Source organism: Homo sapiens, chromosome 2 (assembly GCF_000001405.40).
Source record: "Homo sapiens chromosome 2, GRCh38.p14 Primary Assembly".
Taxonomy (NCBI): Eukaryota; Metazoa; Chordata; class Mammalia; order Primates; family Hominidae; genus Homo; species Homo sapiens.
The window spans coordinates 234,050,197-234,077,134 of NC_000002.12; the positions used below are offsets into that span (position 1 = coordinate 234,050,197).

Genomic DNA, 26,938 nt, shown 5'->3' on the forward strand with positions numbered 1-26,938 from the left:
TATGTAAATACCTTATTATCCAGGTGATGTGCAAAAGTGTCCAGTAGCACAGAAGATTGGTTAATAGGATGGTGTGTCCCAGCTTTTTACTGCACTTGTACTTGCTTCGAATATTTAGGACCCCTATATAAAATTATCTTCTCCAAAGTCATAATTTCCAAGAAGATCTTATACCCACACTATTTTCATAAGTAGTCAACTGCAAGATCTTTAGAACCATGAGGGGATCTCAATACACAACAATTTAAGATTAACCATTTTGTTGAATGTAAGATTATATCCCCTCCAAAGAATGAAATTAAAATAGAGAAAAATAAACAGCACACGTGGAATCCTGAGCCTCTTGATGCCTTTTGCCTTGGGCTAAAGTTCTCTTGTGAGTTGTAAACTTCAAAAGTGTCCTCAAACTGGAACCTTTCCATAGGAAAAGTCAGCAGAAAATATTGACCCCAGGATCAATTGTTTCTGTTTAAGTTACAGATTGCTGCAGTCAAAATAAGCAGCCAGTGTTTGATAAAGACAGCTCCTCTTAGGAAGAACTGTCATCCCCAAACACATAGAGAGACACTCTCTGTCTCTCGATTACAATCATGATTTCCAGAATGGAGAAGATGACGATGATGATGAAGATATTGATTATGTTTGCTCTTGGAATGAACTACTGGTCTTGCTCAGGTAAGGTATTCACCAACCTGGCCACCTGCTCTGGATCATGCAGAGCCATGCTGGCGCCTGTGTCTTGTCTCACTGTGCCCCATGTGCTTGCGTGTCCAGGTTTCCCAGTGTACGACTACGATCCATCCTCCTTAAGGGATGCCCTCAGTGCCTCTGTGGTAAAAGTGAATTCCCAGTCACTGAGTCCGTATCTGTTTCGGGCATTCAGAAGCTCATTAAAAAGAGTAAGTGCAAAATGAAATCTTCTCTACTCCTCCTTCCAATGCTGTCTGCCTTTTGTCAGTTCATTGGATATACTTTTAAGAAATTTTCTCCAGTTTAAAAATGATAGTAGCTAGTCATCTCTTTCATACTGTCTCTTTTCTTTGACAGAGAAAGATTTAATTACAATTTTTTGTCATGAGGCTATCCAAACCACTTTTGATGACTGATTCTTCTGCTGTATTCTCCTCTCTAACCTTGTCTTCTGGTTCCCTGCAGCCTGCTTTTGTACTTGAAGTCCTCGCGATTCTTTCTGAGGTGTTTTATTACGAACTTCTCATTTATTGGAAATGAGCCTCCTTTCAAATTCAGCAGTTCTGCTCCTAATACTTACTGGAAATAATCTGGCTTTTGAGTCAAAGAAATTCACCTTTCCTTGTCAATTTGGTAATAGTCTGTTTCCTCTTAGCTTTGGGAGCTAAAGAAAGAGTAATCACTTGGGCTTCCAATGACTAAGTCTGTGATATGCAAGGAAAGAAATGTAAAAATATCCTTCAAAGGAAATGAGAAACATAAGCAGCAAGTCATCTCCCTTCTTCCTGTTCCCCAGGTAATTTCACTGCCTTATTATCATCTGCATGGGGCTCATTTGGAGGTAGGGATGAACATATTTTCAAGCAAATTTAGGTTAAGGTGGGAGGTAGAGAGGTTCTATAAAGTTGCACATCTTAGGAATGAAGGCTCTGTATAGCCAGGCAGCATGGGAATGAGAATGAAGACACGGCTGAAGGTCCAGGCAGCAGAGGCCAGATGGACATTGCTTTCTCTCTGTCTGCCTGCTGCCTTCTCCCATCCCTCCTGGACTGACTCTTAGCTTGTTCCCTCTGCTACTCTGTAGAGCACATGGCTCATGATTTCCTAGTTCTAGTCTCCAAATACAACATATTCAGCTTGATCTTCCTCAGAACCTGGCTCCTAGTTTCTCTTTTCCAAATTTCAAGGGAAATGAATCAAAAGGACCCAGTTTTATTTTCTAGTTTGATTATAGTTCATGAAGACTATGGGCTATGCTTTTTTTTAGGTGCCATTCCAGAATCATGGCCAGAGTGGAGTCACTTGCTCTGGATGTTGTGGTGTGGAGGCACTGGTCAGCTGCCACACCAAAGGTTGAGCTGCTCCTGGATCAGAATACAGAACCCCCTTTCCTTGCTTGTATTGTATTTCAAATGCCAGTTTCCATTGGCATTTAATGAAATCCACTTGTGGTGGTGTGGAATCGGGGTCTTTTTGCCAACCTTGCAGATGAACAGTTTAAATTTACTTTTGATTTAGCTATTGCTCACCACAGAAGAAAGTTAGCAGTTTATTAGATGAATAAGAGCATGAGGATAGATCCCAAGAGAACCAATTACTGACACCGTGGAAATCTGCCCTGTGGAGATGAGCTATTGTGAGGCACAGCCACCAGAGCGTGTTCTGGCTCATGTGCCATCTTGGTATAGTCACCCAGACTTGAGCCCAGACGCACATGCACCTAAAAATAGATACAATTATATGCGATGTGTGTGACTCTTGATGAGCACATGAAAAATGTTGCCTCTCCACCTCAAGTACACTGCTCCTTTACCTGGAGGTCTGCCTATTCTTGCCTCTCCCTGCCTTTTCTGATTATTCAAATTCATTGGTCAAGCTACAGTCACCGTGCCCTCTTGTTGAGAACTCTATTTCTTCTCCCACTGGAAGGGAGATTCTCTTCCTTTGATCTCTCCTGGTGATATTTTTTTCTATTGGGAGTGTTTCATATTTTGATTTATGTTGTGTGTATTAACCATGTCTTCTATAAACACCCTATAGATGGCTCCAAATATACCAATTCTCTCTACCCTAGCAGACATGAGGGATACACTAAAAGGCAAAGCCCTCAGGAGAGAGTTGAGTGAATAGATCACTAGCACTGGGGTTACAAACAATTCACGAAAGAGGAAATACAAAAGACTAAGAAAGATTTGGAAAGCTATTCAACCTCCCTAATAGAAGAAAAGTGCAGAATTAAAATAGCAATGTGAAAAAGAAGAATAACAAGGTAAAAGAATAACGGTGAAAAAAACATCACAACTGCCGCTCGAGAGTTTGGAATTTTGTAAAATTGTATTTGAAAAGCAAGTTGGAAATATGTGTTAAACATATTTACTAGCATGTTAAACGTTAAATTAGTAAATATTTAAAACTTTCAATTGCATAGTTTCACTTCTAAGAATATGTTCAAAGCAAATAAGTGGTTTAGTCATGAGTATTTGGGGGTACAGTTCAATGGTTGTAGGGAGAAGGGTCGGGCCCTTCTGTTTTGCCCTCAGGTTTGCTTACCAAGTGCAGTGATTCTCTACTCAGACTACACATCATCATTGCACGGGAGCTTTAAATATTTCTGATGTCCAGGAGGGATGATCGACTCCTTAAATCCCAGTCTCTGAGGGCGGGACTCATATTCTTAAATGTTCTCCTGCTCATTCTAATGTGCGGTCTCGGTGAAGAACCACTGGGTATTACCAACAGACCTAGATCAAATATTCTTTTAATTGATTTCAAGTTACTCACCTCCTGGGCTCCAAATTTGAGAAAGGAGGAGAAAGGAAAAATCCACACGACTTTAGCACTGATGGTTTTCTTGCTCCAACCTTGACATTAGGCTCACTTGGACTATTCCCTCAGTGGACACAAGCAGAGAAAGGAAAGGTGGGCATTGGCCCTATGCTGGGCCCTATGCTGGGGAGGGGGAAGCAAAGAGGACAAGTAGGGCTGTGGTTTCATAGGGAGCAGTTTCTACCAGGGAAAGAGAGGGAAAGGAGATGGGGAGGGAGGGGAAGGGGAAGAAAGGGGAAGAGGAAGAGGACACAGTTAAATAAACCAAATTCATTTCCAATAGTGGAGAGTACCGTAGAGGAGGGTAAGCAGGTTGACATGATAGGCCTTGCCTGGGGCAGCAGTCAGATGGGGCAACAGTGTCCTCTGATGCTGCATCTTTGAGCTAAGACTCACTCCAGTGACAAGAAGTTCCCACTGTGGAAAGACGTTCTGAGGAATATTGGGTGAGCTGGCAGAGTCAGTGGGAGGGTCCTGAAGGACGAAAGACCTTGAGAGGGAGGCTGGCTAGAGCCAAGTGAGCCTGGGAGAGAAAGGTGGGAGTGGAGAGCGGTCAGAGAGGTGGGCATGAGTGGGACATGCCTAGGTCATGATTTTGAGGAGTTTGAGGTCTGTTTTAAGGGCAATGGGTATCCCCTAGGGACATGTGCATTTGCAAAACATCTCTGCTTAGCTTGGGCCACCGTAACAAAGTACCACGAACACATAACAAACCATGGTCTAGGTGGTGCATAAAAAACACCAATTTATTTCTCAGAATTCAGGAGGCTGAGATCTGGGATGAGGGTGCCAGCATGGTCTGGTTCTGGTGAGGGCCCTCTTCTGGGCTGCAGACTGCTGATTTCCTGCTGTATCCTCACATGGCAGAAAGAGAGCTAGCTGACTCTCCAGCCTCTTCTTATAAGGATGCTAATCCCACTTATAAGTGCTCTACCTTGAAGACCTAATAACCTCCCAAAGGCCCAACCTCCAAATATCACATCAGGGATTAGAGTTTCACTATACGGATTGGGGCAGGGGGACAAACAGTCCATTGCAATCTTTCCAGCTGCTGTGTGGAGTGGGGTGTGAGGGGAGAAACTGATCATGGTGAGATGCTGGTGTGGGGTCTCAAGTCAGGGCAGGGAGGATGCGGGGAGCAGATAGATTTGAGGTACATTTGGAGGCAAAGCCATGGAGTTTTGGGATCCTTGAGGTCTCCATGCCTTTTTTGTGTGTCCATTTTACCTTTCAACCTCTTTGCATTTTTTGGTTTTTGGCTTTCTAAATTATTCTCAGCTAGCCATTTCTGATCTTTACTTTTTGTCCATTAATAAGGGATTCATTTGAAAAACCTAAGTGACCATTGATGCCCTATTAGTGAGGGTTCTCCAGAGAAACAGAACCAATATGACATGCATACATATATAAATGGATGCATATGAATATATGAGAGAGAGACATTGAGAGAGACAGAGATTTATTATAAGGAATTGCCTCATGCAATTTCAAAGGCTGGCAAGTCCAAAAGGAAAAAAGAAAATCTGATGAGGTAGGCCAGCAGGCTGGAGATTCAGGGATAACTTACAGTTTAAATCCAAAGGCAGTCTGCTGGCAGAATTCCTTTCTGATGGGAAGATTTCTGTCTTTATTCTATTAAGGCCTTTAACTGATTCGATGAAGCCCACCCACATAATGGAGGGTCATCTGCTTTACTTAAAGTCCACTGATTTAAATATTAATCCCATTCAAAGAATAGCTTCACAGAAACATTCAGAAAAATGTTGACCAAATATCTGGGCACCATGGTTCAGTCAAGTTGACACTATAAAATTAACCATTACAATTGTCAAATGGAATTGCTATGGGTCTTTTATTTTTATATATTTGTATTTCTTTTAAAAATAAAAACCAAAATGTAATCATTACAAAAAGTCAAAAAATACAAGAAAGGGAAAATGAAAAATAACATTCATTATCCATTTATCTGAGAAACACTCACTATAAACCCATGAGAGGATATCCTTTTGGAGTGTTTTTATTCATATGAAGGTATACAATGTATTTTTAAAGAAAAATAGGACAATACTGTAATACTGATTGTAAATTCTCATAATTTGTTTCAGCAATAATGCTGGGTTTTTAATTTTCTCCAGTTGACTTCTTTTTTTTTTTTGGAAATGAATTATTTTATTTTATGAGTATCTTGGTAAGTTTTTTTATTATACTTTAAGTTTTAGGGTACATGTGCACAACGTGCAGGTTTGTTACATATATATACATGTGCTATGTTGGTGTGCTGCACCCATTAACTCATCATTTAACATTAAGTATATCTCCTAATGCTATCCCTCCCCGCTTCCCAGTTGACAAATGGGATCTAATTAAACTAAAGAGCTTCTGCACGGCAAAATAAACTACCATCAGAGTGAACAGGCAACCTACAGAATGGGAGAAAATTTTTGCAATCTACTCATCTGACAAAGGGCTAATATCCAGAATCTACAATGAACTCAAACAAATTTACAAGAAAAAAAACAAACAACCCCATCAACAAGTGGGCGAAGGATATGAACAGACACTTCTCAAAAGAAGACATTTATGAAGCCAAAAGACACATGAAAAAATGCTCATCATCACTGGCCATCAGAGAAATGCAAATCAAAACCACAATGAGTTGACTTCTTATTGTTCAGCATTTAGGCTGTCCCACATTTCTTGAATTACACAGAATAGAAATTTACTGGCAGAAAGTGAGTTCAAATGAAACAGCAAAAATGTTAGATGTTTCTCCCTATTCTTGAAAGTCCCCTTCAAGATGCAAAAGAGGTTGCAAAGTTATCTCATAGCTCAATAAAATGATCTGTACCCCCAAAAAACTCACATTTTCATCTTTTCAGCTAAGCTTTTGTGTTGCCAGTTGCTTCCATCAAATTGCTTTTAGGTGAATTGCTGAAGCTCACCCTGCAGTGGAGGGCCCCAAACAATGGACTTCAGTTGATGGGAGAGATTTTTATTTTTTAATTTTTTAATGAGACACAGATTTAACGTTCAATATATTAAAATTATAAGTATATGAGGTAGTAATTAATGGTGAGGTTGAGTTTTTATTTCTACTTGTTTTCAGAAAATTCTACTTTTATCAGCACTCATTATGTGTCCTATGTTAGGAGACATAAAGATCCCCGTCCTCAGCTTGGAGTTTTGCCACTTTTTTTCCAAAACAAAATGTTCTGCATGTGCCTATTATTCCCTACTTGTAAGTAGTTCTCGCTCTCACAGAAAGAGCGCTGCCTCCATCTCTCTCCTCCCTGGGCAGTACGTTCAATGTGTTGCTGACTTCAATTTGCTGCAAGGTGGGTTCAGAAACTAAGAGGCAAGAAGTGACTTGGATCCTGGGGGTGTTGTCAGGTACTGGACCGTGGCAGGCTCCCCACTGGCTTCCTGCTGCCCCCTTGTTCCTGCCCCAATCTGTTTACCTTGCAGCAGCCACGGTGATTCACGTGCTGCTCTTAAAACTCTGTGATAGCATCTCGCTGCAGTGAGAATTAAATGTAAACACCTTTCCGTGGGCTCCAAGACCATACCTGACACGCTCCATCTCTCCAAAGTCACAGTGTATGGTTCCTGCCCTGGTCAGGTTTGCTCCAGCCACAAGAGTCGGAGTTGTCCCTGCCCCAGGGCATTGGCTCTGCTTTCTATTCACAGGATGAGCTTCTTCCCATCCTTCAAGGCTCAGTTTAAATTTGCCTTCCTTGGGAGGATTTTTCTGGCATTTTCTCTAAAACAGCTGCTTCCTTCCCTCACCCCCATTGCCATGTTGTTGTTTTTCTTGATAGCCCCATAACTATCTGGGATGATCTTGGATAGTTTTCTTTGATGTGTCCACTGTGTGGCACCTCCTCTGGAATTTAAGCCACTGGGCATCTTCCCTGCTCTGCCTCTGGTGCTGAACACACAGTGAGTACTCAAGAAGTCACAGGAATTTGTGACATCAGAACTCCCCAGATTTGTCATGGAGTTTAGATTATTTTCCTTTGTGGAAAGGAGAAGAAAATCATTTAAACTCATTCACATATCAGAACTGCTCAAGCAGGAAGCTAGGGCTGGAGAATAGTCTGTACTGCAGAGAGCACTCGTTGCTCAATTACTTATTTCTGGAATTATTAAAAAATTATGGAGCAGTCTTTTAGGAAAATGACACTTAGAAATATGGACAGTTGATTCTTCTTACTTGTAGTAGTTATGTTGTATAAAATCACCACGAACACTGAATTAGCAAACACAGAATCATTGCTCCTAGGGGAAATAGAAGGTTTGGTTCCTGTGAGCCTTGGGTCACAACATTTTCATCAACCCATCAATACTAACCTTGTTTTTGTGAGTTCCTGCTTAAAGATGCTTAAATTAATATATATTGTTGATTCATTAACATTGAACTCACGACCAACAGCACTGTGACTCCTGCCTGAACAAAGCTTACCTTACTCACATATTTTCCATGTCAGCTGCATCACAGCCTTGTGCTTTGGAACACTAGTGGGTTCTTCCACACCAGGCTTGGGGGCCATCATAAACATAAAGCTACTAACAAAAAGCACAAAAATGCAAAAAAAGCCACGAAATAGACCATAAAAAGCACACTTGTTTTCAATATGAGAGTTGAAACAAGAAGGAAGAATGTCTCCTTGTTCGGCTCCTGTTGGTAACATGCATGTTGGGTGACTCAAGATTTTTGTCGTTCTGCATTTGTCCCTAGATGATTGCCAAAGTAAGTGTTACTAGTATTGATTTTGGGGTTACAAATAAATTTTAGTGAGTAGGTGAGTTTGCCAATATGGAATCCACAAACAGTGAGGATCAATTGTCACTGTAAAGTGTTAGAAGCAATACTGGCCTTGGAGTTAGAACACCTACATTCTGGTTCCATTTTCGTCACTAAACTATTGTACGACTTTGTTAAGTCACTTTTCCTCTCTGGTCTGCAGAAGAAAGGCACGGAACTAGGTGATTGCTAAGATAATTTATTGCTTTCATGGTGGACAATTCTGTAATTTTTTTCTTATGGGGTAGAGACAATGATTTATAGCATCATAAACTTCAGAAATGCATTGATCACACTCTGAAACTTTATTTTTGTGAAGGTTGAGGTCCTAGATGAGAACAACTTGGTCATGAATTTAGAGTTCAGCATCCGGGAGACTACATGCAGGAAGGATTCTGGAGAAGATCCCGCTACATGTGCCTTCCAGAGGGACTACTATGTGGTAAGTGGGAGGAGACCCATCCCAGAAATGAACAAAAGGAAGAGCCTCACTTCTTCCATGACCTGGAGTCACACAAAGAACTTGGTCGCTGCCTGGCTAGCATCTGGCCACACTGCTAACATGTGGACATTGTGTCCCCTGGTGGGGGAAGTGTTACTCCGTGGCTGAACATTGAGCTGTGGAGTCTGAGATCCTGAGTGATCCTGACAAATTACTTTATCCCTGGTGCCTCAGTTTCCTGCTTTTTAACATGAGGATGAATTTGTATCAGGTAAAGTGAATACAACACCAGAGACAAATCCCAGACACACTTAAAATTCTCTTACAAAGGATTATGAAACACTGACTCTTCCTGGCACATGTCACGTTCTTTTGCCATTGACCGTTGAATGACATCTGTCTTCCCCACTAGTTCAGGCTCAGTGAGATCAGGAACATGGCATGTTCGCTTTCGTGTCTCTCATGACCAGAACATGTACAGCACTGTTCCGTGGTAAGCAGGACCATGAAAACCTAACCCCAAAGGCCAAGGGAGCTGAGAGGCTGAAGAAAGAGGCTCCCAAATCCAGTTTCTCGGAAAAACAAACAAACAAACAAACAAACAAAAAACACTTCATAGGGACTTACAAACAGAATGCATGTCTTGGGTGGAGGTGAGACAGTGGATCCCTGTGCCATTACCTCCCAGATCCAGGGCTTACATACTGTAGGGAATTTGACCCAAGGCCAGGATTTATGGTATGCACATGAAAGTGGAAATCTTAGAGGGATTCCCAGAAACGGGTTAATCAGAAGTCATCATGGCAGATTGGCATCCAAGGTGGAATAGCTTTAGTCTCCACAGACACTTAGTCAACACCCATGGGCAATAATCCCATCTGAAAAGGGCAACACCAGCAGTCCAAAATTTGTTTTCCAAAGTGTTTGCATTCTGAGGTTCAAGCTCGTGGGTTTTGTTACTTAAAAGAGGATGTTTGATTTGTTATTTGTTTCATGAAACTACTCACTGTGACTCTGTTTTACAAAGGACTCATACCAAAGTGTCACAAGCTTCTATTTCTAATGAAATCTGAGGGCAAAGAAGAAGAGAGTGAAGTCCTGTGGGGTTCTTCGTCATTTCTTTTTGTCCGAATGAAAATTGACTCAGGGCAGCCCAGTTAGCACTCATGGGGGAAATGTTTGCGTTTCCTAGAGACTTGTAATGGGTCAAACAGCAAAGAGATGTTTAAATATTCCATTTGTTTCTGCTTCGGTCTTGAGGAATTTTCATTTTGAAAAAATAAAATGCCTCTGTGAAGTTTTTCTTTGTCATTTCGTCAAACCTGACATTTATTTTCCTGATTTACTCAATGGAGGCTATCCCTTTCCACAAACAGCTGAAGAGAGAACTCACCCCTTTGTCTTTTCCAGTCCACAGCTGTTTGCAGAAGCACCGTGAAGGTATCTGCCCAGCAGGTGCAGGGCGTGCATGCTCGCTGCAGCTGGTCCTCCTCCACGTCTGAGTCTTACAGCAGCGAAGAGGTATGACTGGGGCCTTGTCTCCTCCCAGACCGCACCTCTTAGGGTCTGTGTGGGTTTGTGAAAAACAGAGTGGTTTGCTGGGTAGCTGGATCATCACCTGGGCTTGGGGATGCCGAACTCTGCTGACACAGTGGGATTCTCTCTTGGACACCTACAGCCTCATTGTCCACATCCCCTACTTCTCCCAGCTTATTCTTTCACTCGTGTATGTCCTCTCTCTTTCTCTCTCTCTCTCTCACACACACACACATATGCACACACACACACGCACACACACACACATGCACACACGCACACATACACACGCACACACACTTGATTTCCCTGGGATTGGGAAATGGCCTTCAAGTAAAATTAACAAACCTTTAAAGTTTCAGATCTAAGTATGTGGCTCGCTGGCACTGTGGTTTAGTGCAATCAAGAAGGACATTTTTGTTGGACCAGTGTTCAAAACTATTTCTCAGCTCTGTAGTCCAGGTCAGGATACTTGACTTTCATTTAACCCTCATGATCCATGGCTTCTTCATCTGTTAAATGCTAGCAGTCATAAAGACCACCTTATAGGTTGTTGAGAAAATCCAGTAAGCTGATGGACATGAAGGATCTGGCTTGGCACTGGGATACTCAATGGATGGCAGGACCCTTATTTTTCCTCAATTGCATTGAAAGTTTGATTTGCAATAATACTGTAATATTAATAATATATACATTTTTTCCTTGAAATTATATTATATAAGTGTCCAATTATTGGCTGCTTTCCATACTAGACTGTATGTCTCATGAGGGCAGGGAATGTTTGTTTTTGTCAGTCTAGGACAATGTGTGATGCATCACAATGTTTGACATAGCTCACTAAATACTTGTTGTATAAATGCAAGAAAACTGGGGAAGAAATGGACAAGAATATGATAAGAAGAGGCCATCTCTTCACTTTAAACTAGGGATAAAAACATGACATATTATTTGTTCATGTGTAATAGGATAATATTATTGACAGATATTTTTAAATATTTCCAACATTATATGGATGATTCTAACATAATCTTTCTTTCCTTTTTATATTTTTGTTCAGTTTTTCAAGATTTAACTCTGTAGTGAAAATTACATTAAAATATTATAAAATTTCTACTTCAAGAATTACACATAAAAGTTAATTTTCCCATATAATTAATATACTCCTGCCTTAACTATTTCTTCTGGAGGTACATTTTAGAATTAGAAAGTAATGAAACTAATGACTGAGACACTCCTATTGCAGAGGATGGCCTTATTGGTACAAAGAGAACTTAACACAGTTTATTAGGACTTTCTCCACAAAAAGTTCAGTTGAGCACGGCCTTATTGATTGATCCCGTCACACTGGCAACTTTCGAAGGTCAACCCCCAGGTGACCTCTGAACTTGTCCTGGAGCCATAGTTGAAGAATCTTCTTTTCTCAGGGCTGGGGCGAGTACCATGGGCCTCCTTTCTTAGACCCTATTGAAATATTTAGGAAGTCAAATACATTCTGCTGTAACACACTCATACACTGTGGCCCCGCTAACCAGAAATGACAAGGACCAAGCTTATCACTTCACAAGTCTTTTGTTAATCTTGATTTGTGGTTCATATGAGAAAAAAGACAGTGGGGAGGAAGACAAGCACAGTGCTAGCCTTTGTGGAGTTTATAGACACGTCTTGGGGAAAGGTGCCCACTAAGCAGGAATTACCCTATCAGGCAGGCACTGGGGGCCACATAGTGAGAGGAATGCATGTCACCTGGGGAGCAGACAGCTTCCCCCAGGAACTGACCTTCCAGCCAAGAACTGGAAGGCGGGTAGAAGTCAGAACAAACAGGGCAGAGTGTGGAGGGGGAAGGGTATTTCAAGCATAGGGGAAATCAGGTGGGGTACCCTGAATTGCCAGGAAAGCTGGTGGGTTGAAATGGACAGAACTCCATTACAACAGGAATGAGAAAAACATGGGGAGAGAGGCACAAGGTGGAGCTGGAGGAACATTAGCAGTCAAGATGGACTTTGAGGGTCTTGTCGAGGTTGCCTGGCTCTATCCTAAAGACAAAGGGGCTATGAAAGAGTTTTAAGTGTGTGTGTGTTGGGAGCAGAGGAGGGTAACAGAATCAGATGACGAATAGATTGGAACTAGGTAAGAATAAATATGGAGTAAATATGAAATAAATAAGAGGTGAGAGAGAATGCTAACTGGGTCTAGGGCTTAGTAGTGAATGTTGAAAGAAATGGATTCTGGTTCATTTTATGACCTTTAACACAAAATGAATTTAGTAAATGGCCAGCTAAGTTAACGCCTCTTCCACCCTGATTTGGAAAGTGGGTTCTGATTGTTTGCAAAGCCTACAAATCTGTTGCAGCTTTCTAATTGCATAGTGAAGACCACTCTCTTTTCTTCCAATTCCAAGTTTTCTAAGAAGACTCAGATATTAAGTTAGCCCTTGTAAAAAACTAGATCTTAAAATAAACTCTCTGATTGCTTCTTCTTAAAGGTTAGGTGATCATAAACATTTTTGAGCAAATTTATTTTTAAAAATTCTCAAATTAAAAAATTCTACAATTTGAAAGACAAGAAGAAAGCAGATAGAGACTTAAGTAATTCCTGGAAACTCTGAAATGAATTTCTTGCATGAAACAGAGAAGAAATGAGAGAACAGCTGGTAATCATTCTCAGTGAAAAAAAATGGCAATATTATAAATATGAAAGACATTAGATTAGGATACATTTAGTCATAGAACAAATAAATTATTGTTGGAAGGAAGAAATAGAAGAAATAAAACTGAAAAAAACTCCCAGAGTAATAAAAATAAAGATCACTTGAAAAACATATAGAGAATGTAGAAGAATTTCCAGAGTAAGGAATATAAGGTAAAGAAAAATGGAAGCCATGGCAAATAAGCCCCAAAATCCAAATTATGACTAATAAGGACTTAGAGTAAGTCTGGTAAGGACATAATGAAAGCCCTGAATATAAAATATTTGGACTTTCCATGACATAATTTTTTAAAGTATAGTAACAATAAAAAATTGAGAAAATAAATTTCTAAATTTGCAAATATTCTCCTATAGTTAACTAAATAGATAGGTGAATTATCGGTAGTTTTTATTATTTCTTTTTCAATCCCGAAATTGAAATGTGTAGAGGATAAAAGCTTTCCTTATGGTGCATAAGCACTCACTCAACCTCGTACTGGTGCAGGCCCCATCAGGAGTACGATGCTGAAATGGTACAATGTATTACAGTTGTAGGTTGGAGCTCTCTTTCTCTTTCTTCAGTTTCTAATGAGTGAGCTTGACTTTAGACAAATCCTTCTGATTTGGAGCGGATAGGATGAAGTCAGCTAGGGTTTCCGACACGAGACCCAAAATAAGAGAGAGAAACTGAAGAAGAATGATGACAGGAATTCTGAGCTTACGGGAGGGGTGACGGGCATTTAATTTATTTACTGCCTTTCATTTCAAAAGATAGATATTCAACTAGAAGTAGTCTAAGCCAAAAAGAGGTAATTCCCTGGATCACATTCCCAGAAAGGAAGGAGAGAAGTTGGCTTCAGGGACAACTCGACTTAGAGTCCTTCAGTCCTGTATGTGCCACATTCTTCTCCTTCCCCTTCTCTCCTGGCCTCCCCTCCCCTCTGCCCCTCCCTCTTCCTTCTCCCCCTCATTCCCTTTTCTCTCTCTCTCTTCCTCCCTTTCCTCCTCCCTCTCCCTCTCCTTCTCCTTCCTTCTCTGAGCCTCCTCCATCTTCTCCTCCTTCCTCTGTCTCTCTCTCTCTCTCTGTCACTGTGCCTTCTGCACTCCACGTCCACCCTTGCTGCAGAGAGGCTTTCCCCTTGCAGCAGGAAGTAAAGCCTCAAGCTACTCCAGACTTATGTCCTCTGTACTTAGGAGGGAAAAGAGGCATTTCTCTCTGCTGCCAGTTAGAGAAACCTCTTGGTATTCCCTCTATTGGCCTGGCTTAGGTGTCCCCTCTTTTTGTTCTTTTATACATATAACTTTATTATTAATTTATTTTAAATTTTATATATTTACTTGTGTACAATGTGATGTTTTGATACCCCCCTTTAAAAATACATTTTGGTGGAGATATAATTTACATACCATAGAATTCACCCTTTTAATATGTACAGTTCAGTGGTTTCTAGCATATTCACAACTGCCACCACCATTTAAATCCAGAACACTTTTATCACGCGGGAGAGAGACCCCAGTAACAGTTGTTCTCTATTCCTCATTCCTCCTAACACTTGGCAACCACTAATCTACTTTGTGTGTCTATGGATTTGTCCATTCTGATCATTTCATACAAATGGAATCGTACAGCCTGTATTCTTTTGTGACTGACTTGTTTCACTTAGCATAATGTTCTGGAGGTTTATCCATGTTGTAGCATGCATCAATGCTTCATTCCTTTGTATTGTTCCGTTTTACAGAGCCACATTTGATTGATCCATTCATTCATTGATCGACATTTTGCTTATTTCTCCCTTTTTGGCTATCATAGATAATGAGGCTAGAAGCATTCATGTGCAAGTTTTTGTGTACACATGTATTTAATTCTCTTGGAAACAGAATTCCTGGATCATATAGTAACTCTATGTTTAATGACCGTATAGTGACTTTATGTTTAACTTTTTGAGGAACTGCCACATTATTTCCATAGCAGCTGTACCATTTTACATTCCCACCAGTAATGTATGAGGATTTCAGTTTCTATACATTTTTGTCAGTTCTTGTTGGTGCCTGTCTTTTTTATTTTAGCCATTCTAGTGAGTGTGACGTGGTATCTCATTGTAGTTTTTTTTGTTGTTGTTGACAGAGTCTCACTCTGTCACTCAGTCTGGAGTGCGGTGGCACAATCTCGGCTCACTATAACCTCTGTCTCCTGGGTTCAAGCAATTGTAGTGCCTCAGCCTCCCAAGAAGCTGGGACTACACGTGCGTGCCACCATGCATGGCTAATTTTTGTATTTTTAGTAGAGACGGGGTTTTGCCATGTTGGCCTGCCTGGTCTCCAACTCCTGGCCTCAGCTAGTCTGCCTGCCTTGCCTCCCAAAGTGCTGGGATTACAGGCATGAACCACTGTGCCTAGCTCTCATTGTGGTTTTAATTTACATTTTTCTAACGACTAATGATTGGCCATTATACATCTTCTTTGAAGAAATGTCTATTCAAATCCTTGCCTATGATTTAATTGCACTATTTGTCTTTTTATTTAGTTGTTTTGAAATATTTTCTCCCCCTCTATGGGTTGTCTTTTACTTTCTTGATGGTGCCCTTTGAAGAGCAAAATTAAATTTTGATGAACTCCAGTTTATCTATTTTTTGTTTTGTTGTTTCTGTAGTCTTACATTAGGTCTATGATCCATGTTGACTTGATTTTTGCATATGTTGTGAGGAAGGGGTTTGACTTCATTCTTTTGCATGTGCATATCTGGTAGTATCAGCACTATCTGTTGAAAAGAATGTTCTTTCTCTCTTAAATTGTCTTGGTATGTGTCCCTTCCCAGTCCAACTACTGTGATGGAGGCCAAGAAATTACCTGACTGTTCAGGACAGGGAGGACAGCCTACCAAGACTCTTGGTAGAAAGACTGCGAGCCAAGCAACCACTTTACTTTGTGATGATTGCATGGACTTTTAGTGGTTTCATGAAAACTTCTTGTGGACACCTTTTCCTACTGAACATATTACAGTGACTTTATAGAGAGAAACCTCTAAAATTCGATCTAAACTTAGTCTGTGTGCAAGTCTGTGTAACAGGGTTTTGCTTTTCTGGAAGCCGGCAATGTTTGGGAGTACATTCTCAGTCTAGGGGAAAGATCTGTGGGTAATTTAAACTTCACGTAGTTTGCTCTTCCCCATGTGCTTTTTTAGACTTATATGTTTGATATATATAAAGTTATTTAATATAACGTATTGCCTATTTCATTAAAAATGGATTATATAACATATATCAGAGTCTTCCAGATGACATTTACATTTTTCAGTGTCTTTCCTTTTTCTTTCTTTCATGTGCTGACACATCCTGATGCCTGAATTTCTTTAGATGATTTTTGGGGACATGTTGGGATCTCATAAATGGAGAAACAATTATCTATTTGGTAAGTTAAGATCTGTTCTTTTTAACTTTTTTTCTTAAAATAACTCCATATTGCAACTCTTTGTTAGTGAGTCATTTAAAACTAGAAATACATATGTATGTAATCTTGCAACAATTACAGCCATAGAAAATTAACATTTTGTTTTGCTTTTGCTTATTTTTTATCACTAGGTAATAATGATACAACTATTCACTTAGATATTCCTTTGTATTCACAACAGAGCTTTTCCATACATAATTCCATTTGATGGCCCCAACATCTCTGCCAAGTAAGCGGAGCCAGTGTTGGTTTTCCCCTTAAGAATGTCTAGCTGGGAGGATCAGGAGTAAACAGTCTGAATTCTATCGTCTTTCAGCCATACAACTAGATCTGATCATCTCTTTGAATGTCTTAGTTCAGGGAGGAAGGGCTCTCCTTCTTTCTTTTCTTGTGTGGCTTTTAATACAAAGTGGGTTGGGTTAGTGTTCTATGATTTAGGAGGCATTTTTCCTATTAGTGCTGACGGCAATAAAACTCAATGGTGATCTCTCACTGCTTCTTTGCTTAAGAAGCATATTTGTGGCATTAACAGTAAAGTCATAGAACATTCTGGAACAGTGAGAGGAGTCTTGTCTTATGATTATTACTGTGTTACAGGTCTCATTTCAGACGAGTCCATAAGTGAACAATTTTATGATCGGTCACTTGGTAAGTGATTTCTTTCCTGCTGTGCCACCAGACCCTTTTCTGATCAATCTGGACTCCTGAGAAATCCTATTTCATAGCTGTTTCCTGTTTCATAGGAGTTAAATCTCTGAAATACAAAATATTTTAAGTAAAAAAGGAAAAGAATAGTAATGTATAAACTTGCTTTGCAAATCATTAAAAAGGTAGCCTTGAGGCACTAACTGACTTAAAAGTTACCAAGAGGCCGGGCGCGGTGGCTCACGCCTGTAATCCCAGCACTTTGGGAGGCCGAGGCGGGCGGATCACGAAGTCAGGAGATCGAGACCATCCTGGCTAACATGGTGAAACCCCGTCTCTACTAAAAATACAACAAATTAGCCGGGCGTAGTGGTGGGCGCCTGTAGTCCCAGCTACTCGGGAGGCTAAGGCAGGAGAATGGCGTGAACCCGGGAGGCGGAGCTTGCAGTGAGCCGAGATTGCGCCACTGCACTCCAACCTGGGCGACAGAGGCCAGACTCCGTCTCAAAAAAAAAAAAAAAAAAAAAAAAAAAAAAAGTTACCAAGAATCAAAATATCAAATCTGGCTCAGGAAATAAGCATTCACCATTTTTTTTTTCTGACACTCTCTGGAGCATTTAAAAAGTAGCATGAACTCTAATATAATCTTGTTTTTTTAAACTAAAAAATTTAATTTTTATGGGTACATAGGAGGTATATACATTTATGGGGTACATGAGATATTTTGATACAGGCATACAATGTGTCTAATGATCTTCTTTTTGCCATACTCAACCAAATTTCTCACCAAATGGATGAAACAAAGTTATTTTGTCCCTCTCCTGTACAGATCAGTTTTCTCATTTGGTCCTCATGATAGCCCTGTCAACCACGTGTGTTACCTGCTTATATAGACGAATAAAGCAGTAAGAACTCATGGCATTAAATGGCATATGCAAATTGTCTACCCTGTACTAATTGCCTAACACAATTTTCTTCTTCAGTGTCACAAACATTCTGTGAGGTAGCACTATGTTCTTTCCCATTTTGTAGGTGAGCTAACTGAGGCTTAGTGAGTTCCTGTAATTTGCTTGTGGCTACATTGCCAATGTAGGACTTTAATCAGATTTGTCAGAATCTAAAACCTGTGCCTGTTTCATGCTGCCTCCCAGAAGAACTGCGAAATCCACCTGATGTTCAGCATTCCCCATTAAAATGAATAACAGAGATATTAACATTTCAATGAGCTCAAAGTCTGACCTTCATTAGGCAAACTCCAGTTTATTTGAAGTGCTAGAGCTTATAACCTGATGCTTGATTTTTTTTTAATGCCTGTTTTATATCTCATCCAAGTTGTCACTTTGGGAGAATATACAGTTATTATGACAGCATGACCACTGCTGAAACGTTTTTATGAGCTTTTCTTTTAGAATTGCCTTCAGAATCCATGGCTTTTTTTTTTTTTTTTTAAATCTCCGTACTGGTGGCAAACATTTGCCCTTGGATTTGATGTTGGGAATATTCAAAAGATATTTGGAGACAAATCTGATTAATCAGATTAATAATCAACTTGGGTGTGTTGGTTATCTATTGCTATATATCAAATTACCCCAAAATGTGGCAGCTTAAAACCACACACATTTATTATCTCACAGTTTCTGAGGGTCAAAGACCAAGGAGAAACTTAGCTGGGTGGTTCTGGCTCAGAGTCTATCAAAAGGTTTCAGATAAGACGTTGACTGGGCTGTGATCTCATCTGAAGCTTGACTGGGGTTGAAGGAGCCACTTCCAAGCCCACTCACATGTTGTTGGGAAGCCTCAGTTCTTTACAGGCTGTTGGACCAAGGGCTTCAGTTTCTTACCATATGACCTTTCCATAAGACTTCTGAATGTCCTCAAATCATGACAGCTGGATCCCCCCAGAGATGATTATTTGAGAGAAAGAGAGAGAGAGAGAGAGAGAGAATGAGCAAGCAAGAGCACTGAAGGCAGAAGACACAGTCTTTTATAAACTAATCTTGGAAGTGATATATCATCACTTCTGCATAATCTATTATTAAATACACAGGCCAATCCTGCCCCAATGTGGGAAGGGACTGCCCAGGAGTGTGAATACCAGGAAGCCATCTTGGAAACTGATTATTGTATTGGACAAATGCCATTTGGGACTAAAAATATTATATGGCTATAAATTAATGTGACCAATTCTTTTATATATCTCAGAAGAAATTTCTAAGCCAAAATCTAAAAACACATTGGGCCTGGGGGAGCATCATTGACACAGAAGTGCGGCTGTCTTGGAGACTGCTTTGAACATGATGATTTAATTTAATTCAATAAATGTGTGTGACAAACACTGGGTAGATCCCTTGGAGGACTGAAAGATAAATGTGGCAGTTCCTGCCCTCCAGGGCATCCATGGTGGCTGAGACATCACATGTAGTAATAAGGAGTGGGGAGAAATGAGCGCTAGACCAAGCTGAAACACAACACGGGGGAGAAGGAGAGAGAATGGAATAAGGAAGATGAAGTTATCGCACCCTCAGGTATTCTCATGGCAGATGGGTTCAGGTTATGCTTGTCACAATCCTCCTCATTAATTTGTAGTAACATTGTCCACACTGTCTCAGATCTTGATGTGACTGACAGAGCCTATGCTTCCCTTTTCTATCTTTAGGGATCATGAGAAGGGTATTGCCTCCTGGAAACAGAAGGTACCCAAACCACCGGCACAGAGCAAGAATAAATACTGACTTTGAGTAACGGCCTTGAGGTAAGAAAATGCAGGTGCACACAAGTGTATTTAGAAATAGAAGCTACGTGGAGTGAACGCCTTAAAACTGCTGACCTTCAAATATCTGCAATATGCTATTCAAATCCTTGCTTTTCGGCTTCTCTGACCTCCTTCCCAAGACTTCTCCTCAATTGCCTCTTCAATCTCATGCACCCTCAATCTTTTTCCCATGACATTTGTATCTGTTGCCACTGATGTGGTCAAGTCTGTCCATGTGAGGAGCAAACAAACAACAAGGGCACAGCCCCTTCTTTTGGCCCATCTCATCCATCTAAGCAACTGCCTTCCCTCCGTCCTTCCTTCCTTGCTAAACTTTTTGACACAACTGCGGTCTCTGGTTGCTTCCTCAACCTCCTCACCTCACATCTATGAAATCTCATCTAGCTTCCTTTTCTGGATGTGTACTTTATTTATTATTTATTAATTTATTTTTTGAGAGGGAGTTTCGCTCTTGTTGCCCATGCTGGAATGCAATGGCATGATCTTGGCTCACTGCAACCTCTGCCTCCTGGGTTCAAGCAATTCTCCCACCTCAGCCTCTCTAGTAGCTGGGATTACAGGCTCCTGCCACCACGCTCAGCTAATATTTGTATTTTTAGTAGAGATAGCGTTTTACCATGTTAGCCAGGCTGGTTTCAAACTCCTGACCTCAGGTGATCTGCCTGCCTCAGCCTCCCAAAGTGCTAGGATTACAGGTGTGAGCCACCACGCCTGGCCGACGTATGCTTTAAATACTGGTGAGCATTCGTATGATCTCCTTAGTTTAATTCTTTCCCTATGCTGTAGATTACTCTTTTATCTCTTCTTCTTGCTTGACTTTAACTATCAATGATGCATAATTATTTCCAAACACATGTCTCTTACCACACTCTATGTCTGGATCCAGGCCTTTATAACTGCCTCTTGGGTGGTGTTGCCATTGTGTATCCTGGGTGTCCCTGAAACTCAACTAGCTTCCTGACAAGCTCCCTTTCTTAATTGATGGCATTACCATCCACCTAATTTGCTCAAGCTAAAAATCTTGAGGGCATCACTGACTCCCCTTCATCCTTCATCTTCTTGGAACATACATTGGGGTCCAGTCTTATTCATTTCACCCCCACATTTCTCTGGCATTGCTCCATCACTTCACTACCATCACCAATGAACTATTGATTGTATTCTTGCATCAGGTTCTGATCCCATACTGTCTACCTTGCTTGCTGTCCTCAGGTTTATCGTGAAACATGGAGGAGACTCTGATCCTTGCCCCATATAAACTAATGCTTGCTTCACTTGTGGGACTGAGCAGAGGTGGGCAACAGCCAGACACTGGGCCAAGAGGAGGAACAGCCTATCTGCCCCAGTTCTATAGAAAGCTAGAGACAGAGTCCTGGTTTATCATACTGGCACTGAGCTTCATAGAGTTTCACATGAGTATAAATTCCCAGTTACTAGGGATGGGATTGGAGCAAATGTAGCTATCATGAAGGGCACACGTAAGAGGAATCTCAAGATGGAATTATAGATGTCGATTCCATGCATAGGTATTTTACATGCGCACATGTGCACACACAAGTTAATAATGAAGTTGGAGTGTTCACGGGCTTTACAGTCTGCATAACACTGCATGCTTTCAGGATAAAGTCCAAACTCCCAGTGTAGCTCACAATGGCTTTCATGACCTGGGTCTGCCCACATCTCCAGCCTCACCTGGCCGCTCAGCTCCTGAGGCACTGAGGTACTTGCAGCTCCTCTGGCTGCTGCCTCTACTGGGACCAGCCACCTGACTAGTTCTGCCTCACCATTCAGGTCCCAGCTCAGTTGTCACTTCCCTTTGGAGGTCTACGTTGACACCACAAACCACCACCACTGAATCAGAGATGATGTCCCTTTTTGGGCCTCTGTAGGTTCCTCATCACAGGGCACTGCCATTGGTTGTTTCCTGTCACCCATCTGACTAACAGACTTCCCAAGAGGAGGTCTCAAGGAACTTCAACTGCCACTGTCCCGCAGTGCCCTGCACACAGCCCAGCACACTCAATAAATAGCACTCAGTAAATATTTTTTAAGTGAATGAAATCCTTCACTTTGGGTTCTTGAAATCCTTTTACCAAAAACATCAGTTAAGCATGGTATAATTAATTTTTAACCATTGAAATTTGAAAGAAATCAACTGACATTTTACTAAAATAGAAGGGAAATTCACCATTGAGGCCTTCTTGGATGAAAGACACAAATGGTAGCTTTTCTTTTTAATGTATGGCACAACTCTAAATATAAAAACCAGCTCCATACTGAGATCAAGAATCTACTCATTATGAAGCAACAGATGCATCATATTCCTTTTTTATAAATGTAAATGATATCTTTTTTTTTTCTTTACAGAACATCATGGGTTATGGGCAGGGAGAATAGAGTTCTCAATGGATTGGCTGTATTTTGTTTATTAGTAATATGATAACGTTGGATGTGTATACATATGTGTATTGCAATATAAATTCATCATTTGATTTTTATGAAGAAATTGATCACTCAAAACATTTATTTTTAAAGACAGCTGCAGCCCTGACCTGAACATTGGATTTGACTGAAGTCCCAGTTATGTCTCTGCCCTCCCATGACCTTTAGCAGGGCAGGTTTCTACACTGTGCTGGGTTCCCTGAAATCACAGAATGAGGCTGGTAAGGCCGGCATAGTGGGTCTAGTGAGGAGGTCAATCCGATGGGATCTGGAATCCACGGGCCTGGTTCTGAGCCTGCTCTCCCATCTGTAATGGTGATTCAGTTCCTTAACCTCTCAGGGTGCAATTCCTTCAAGGGTTTATTATTACTTTTTGCTTTTTCTTGTCCATACTAGACCATAAGCTTCCTTTTTATTTTGAGACAGAGTGTTGCTGTGTTGCCCAGGCTGGAGTGCAGTGGCACAATCTCTGCTCACTGAAAACTCCGCCTCCCAGGTTCAAGCGATTCTCCTGCCTCAGCCTCGTGAGTAGCTGGGATTGCAGGTGCCCACCACCACGCCCAGCTAATTTTTGTATTTTTAGTAGAGATGGGGTTTCACCATGTTGGCCAGGCTAGTCTCAAACTCCTGACCTCAAGTGCTCCACCTGCCTTGGCCTCCCGAAGTGCTGGGATTACAGGCATGAGCCACCACGCCTGGCCGACCATAAACTTCTTGAGGATGCATTCTCCTTGTTAATTATTGCAGTTTTACAACATGTAAAAATATTATTAATGATATGTCTATACAAAATTATTAAAAATATCTTTTGTCCATTTCATAAGGCTAAGAACAGTGTATAGAATACAATCAATCAGATTGGGAGGGAAGAATGAATGAGTGCATGACCAGAAACAAAATTACTCTTTTGAAATTGTGAGTGTCATTTTTCCACTGGGAAGCTCTTTGAAGGCAGAGACTTGGGCTATTTGTTATGAAATCCCCAGAGCCCTAAACACTGTTCTAGGACTCTTTCATGTTGCCAGAAAATGATTTAATATATGAGTAGATAGTGAAATGTAATATTTAAATAAAATACTCTGAATTTTTTTCTTATTTATTGCTCTAAGGTAGGAAATGTAGAAAATCAGGTCCCAACTCTCATGTTGAAAAAATCTCTTTGAGAATCTTAGACTTTCTTATCTTTGTAGCTGGAATAGTTCTGACTTTTCAATTATGTAGTGGCCAGAAGACCCTCAGCACCCAAACCATAGCTGCATGAGTGATGCATTTTTCTTTATGTCACAATCTTGATTATTAGTGTGAAGTTCCTAAACTATGCCCAAGAGCAGCAAAGGGGGCAGTTCTTATTGAGGCCTTTTGTCAATAAGGGCACAGTAAAAAGAATCATTCTCATGATTTTATCCATTTATTCAACAAATGTTCATTAAATGCCCCTCTATGCCTGGCCTCTGTGCCCATGAATATTACAGCTCTCAAGTATGCCTGGGCCTGTGTTTGGACCCATCTCATACATTCTCTTGCATAAACCTTGGAACAATCAAATGAAGTTTTATTCTCTCTGTTTCATTGAGGAGGAAGCAGAGGCATTTAGAGGCCCCTGCCCTCAGAGATAATGTTGGGATTGGAATTGAACTCTTGATGTCTGTCTGTTTCCAAAGCCTCTTCCCTTTTCCTCCCTGTTTTTCTCATATCTCTGTATTTAAAAAAATAGTATGAGAGGGCAAAACTTCAAGACTTATTTGTTTAAGAAGCATTTGTCATGCGTTGGGTGAAACTAGAAATGTAGTCACCAACTAGATGGCAAAGACTTTAATTGATAGGAAGTGTTAGCAACATATCTGCTTATCATCAACTATGTGGAAGGACCGGTCCCTAAAACCTGCACCACCACCGCCAGCTTTCTGAGTGATTTCCACTTTCAGGTGTCAGACTCATTCGTGACAACTTCTTGTCATGGTCTCCCTTGACAGCCCCCCTACTGAAGAGAGCCAGATGCCCCACGGAAGACAGAAAAGATCCAACCGAGACTCCAGTGGCAGAGACATGGCTATGTGCAGTTGTATTCATTTACACTTACTCTGATTCACATTCACAGGACACTGTATTAATTGCTGCACCAAGTAGAGTTGGTTCTTATTATCTGAGGCAGCTATGGTCTATAAAGCTGCTTCAAACATTGAATTAGTGAATACTAAACTATTGCTCATATAGGCAATGCAGGGTTAGAATTCTCTGAGCCTCTGTTCCCAACGTTTTCCTCAACTGATTAGTCTATAACCTTGCTTTATGTGTGTTTCTGTTTAGATGCCGTATTTAATAGATACTGTTGACTCATTAACAATGAACTCTTGGCCAACAGCTCTATAACTCATGCCTGAATGAAGCTTCTCTAACACACACATTTTCTCTGTAAGGCACATCACAGCCTTTTTGCACTTAGAAACACTTGACAGCACTATACTTTGGGGCTATTTTAAACAGTGACGTCATCAACAAAAAGCACAAAAATGCAAAAAAAAAAAAAAAAAAAAATGGGGCACTAAATAGACCGTGAAAAGGACACTTGTTGACAGCAGGAGAGCTGAGACATGGAGGCAGAGCGTTGCCTTGTTTGACCTCAGCTGGGAAGGTGTGGGTAGGTTGACTCCAAGTTTTTGCTGCTCCGTGCCTGTCTGAGAATGAGTGAGAAAGAACCATGAGTACTGATTTTGGGGTTTCAAATAACTGTTAGTGAGCAGTGAGTAGGCGAATTCACAAATACAGCATCTGTGACTAATGAGGATTGACTGCTGAGTGGGTTCCTGGCCCCTCGTTTATCCCTAGCTTCTCATTACTCTCCGTTGATCTCTTCTCATCCTGTCTTTTTAAAAACACCATCTGCATTAGTTCCCCAGGGCCTCAGGCAGTCTCTCCTCCTGCACCCGTCACCGCCCTGCTCTGTAGCCACTTCACTGCTGTCCTATCCCCATGTCCACCCCTTCTCCTCCTGGACCTCACGGCCGCGTTGGATGTGGGTGACCACTCCTTCTTTCTTGAAACCCTCTGACCTCTGAGATTTGGTCCCCTCTCAGGCCAAGACTTCTTACTCTTCACAGACCGGCTTCTTCCTGCTGCCCCTGAAACCATGATGTTACCCAGGGTTCCAGCCTCAGCTCTCCTTCTGCTCATGGCCTTCCCTCTCCTGGGTGATGCCAAGCACCCCCAGGGCTTTGACACCCAGCTGTCTGGGGATTCTTCCCCCTCTCCTCCACACTGTCCCTCCAGCCTGGACTCCAATCAATGGCAGCCTGCCAGACACCTCCGTCTGGGTATTCCACACCACGTTCAAAATGCAATTCTTCCCTCGGAGACTCACTCTTCCCCCTGTCTCCAACTCATCTTCCAAGGTCCCCCAGGCCTGAAGCAGATGCATCTCAGACCTCCTCCCCACCTCACCCAGTTGGTCACCGAGGTCTGCTAATCCTTGCTCCGAAATGTTTCACAGCTCTGTCCTTTTCGAGCTGTTGGCTCCAGTTCCAGCTGCATCTCTAGCCTGCTATGTTCAGCATTTTCCTGGTGGCTGTGTCTTGTTTCCCTCAAAGGCACCTGTGCACTGTCATCAGAGTCATCTTATAATGAGTCTGGGGTCTTGCTGTGCTGGAGGATGGGGATGAGCTCCCTCAGAGTGTGAGCCTCAACAGTCCTCGCCCACACACCCGACAGTGTGCGCCCACTGTCCCCAGCCTTGAGTGCTGCTTCTGTCTCCCGAGTCACATGGGAGAACCTCACACAGCTGACTGTTCTCCCGGGGTCCCAGTCTGGGTCTCACCTCCACTCTCAGGCCCCCTCTGCTGGGATACAGTATCCCCGCCCCATCTTATCCTCCGAGTTCAGCTTACATGCCCTCTTCAGGAACCCTTTTCCTCGGGTTTCCTGCACATAGGCGTCTCTGGAATTGGCATTTATCAAGCTGTACTCTAACTACTTCCACCCCCTTCACTAGGTTGTGGGAGGTTTTTGAGGTCAAAACTATGCCTCATTGATCTTTGTAACCCCCAGCAAATGCTCAGTGCATACATGTTTATTGAACAGATGAACTGATAAATGGATGAATGGCTGGATGGCGTATCCTGATCTCCAGCCCCACACCCGCACACGGTGGCAGCTGTGGCCAACCTACTCTTTTGCTTTTGCTTGGTTCCTTCCTTCCTTACCTCACACCACAAACACCTTCATAGACCTGCCTGGGGCCCAACACCTGGCTGCAGCCTCTGCTTGGGGTCTCTTTGATTCTTCCCTTTATGAGAGATTTGAGCTTCCTTTCTGGGGTTGTGTATCTGCTCCCCAGACCCAGTTACCTGTTCTTCCTCCTGCAGGTGTCCCTCGCCCTTTTGGTTTGTTCAAGGAGCTGCTGCTTTGCATAGCTGCTCTAGTGTCTGGTATCATCGGATCTGGTTTTGAATAATTCCCAGGAGTCCTGGGTCCCTGGCCTCCAAAGCTGGAATGTGAACGCATGCCACGGTGGTCTGACCCTCACACTCCTTTTCTCTTAACAGCAAAATGCAATGGAAGGAAGAAAAGTTCCAACAAAGAATGATTTTGTGAATTCTGTGATTTTTCTTCTGATCAGTTTCAATCTGTAATAAATGCCTTATTTTTCCTGTAA

General features: G+C 41.6%; 1 protein-coding gene across 5 annotated transcripts; it reads left to right on the top strand.

The window, feature by feature from the left end:
* On the top strand, positions 506–26,938 carry SPP2 (secreted phosphoprotein 2). Of its 5 annotated transcripts, none has more exons than NM_006944.3 (8): positions 506–675; positions 775–899; positions 8,640–8,762; positions 10,173–10,283; positions 16,337–16,391; positions 17,028–17,078; positions 19,732–19,827; positions 26,649–26,938. In NM_006944.3, the coding sequence occupies exons 1-7, from the start codon at positions 591–593 to the stop codon at positions 19,815–19,817; spliced, it is 636 nt and encodes a 211-aa protein (NP_008875.1). In that variant the 5' UTR covers positions 506–590; the 3' UTR covers positions 19,818–19,827; positions 26,649–26,938. The 5 variants fall into 5 exon arrangements, with proteins under 5 accessions (NP_008875.1, XP_011510001.1, XP_011510000.1 ...); XM_011511699.4 differs by having other exon boundaries at positions 26,829–26,938; XM_011511698.3 differs by lacking the exon at positions 26,649–26,938 and adding an exon at positions 24,264–24,833.

What these genes read in the sequence shown, in the direction of transcription:
- SPP2 (NM_006944.3), top strand. Translation starts at nt 591, where the DNA reads ATGATTTCCAGAATGGAGAAGATGACGATGATGATGAAGATATTGATT. An exon ending in GAACTACTGGTCTTGCTCAG is followed by an intron (nt 676 to 774) that starts GTAAGGTATTCA and finishes TTGCGTGTCCAG; the next exon opens with GTTTCCCAGTGTACGACTAC. An exon ending in ATTTTATGATCGGTCACTTG is followed by an intron (nt 17,079 to 19,731) that starts GTAAGTGATTTC and finishes TTCTATCTTTAG; the next exon opens with GGATCATGAGAAGGGTATTG.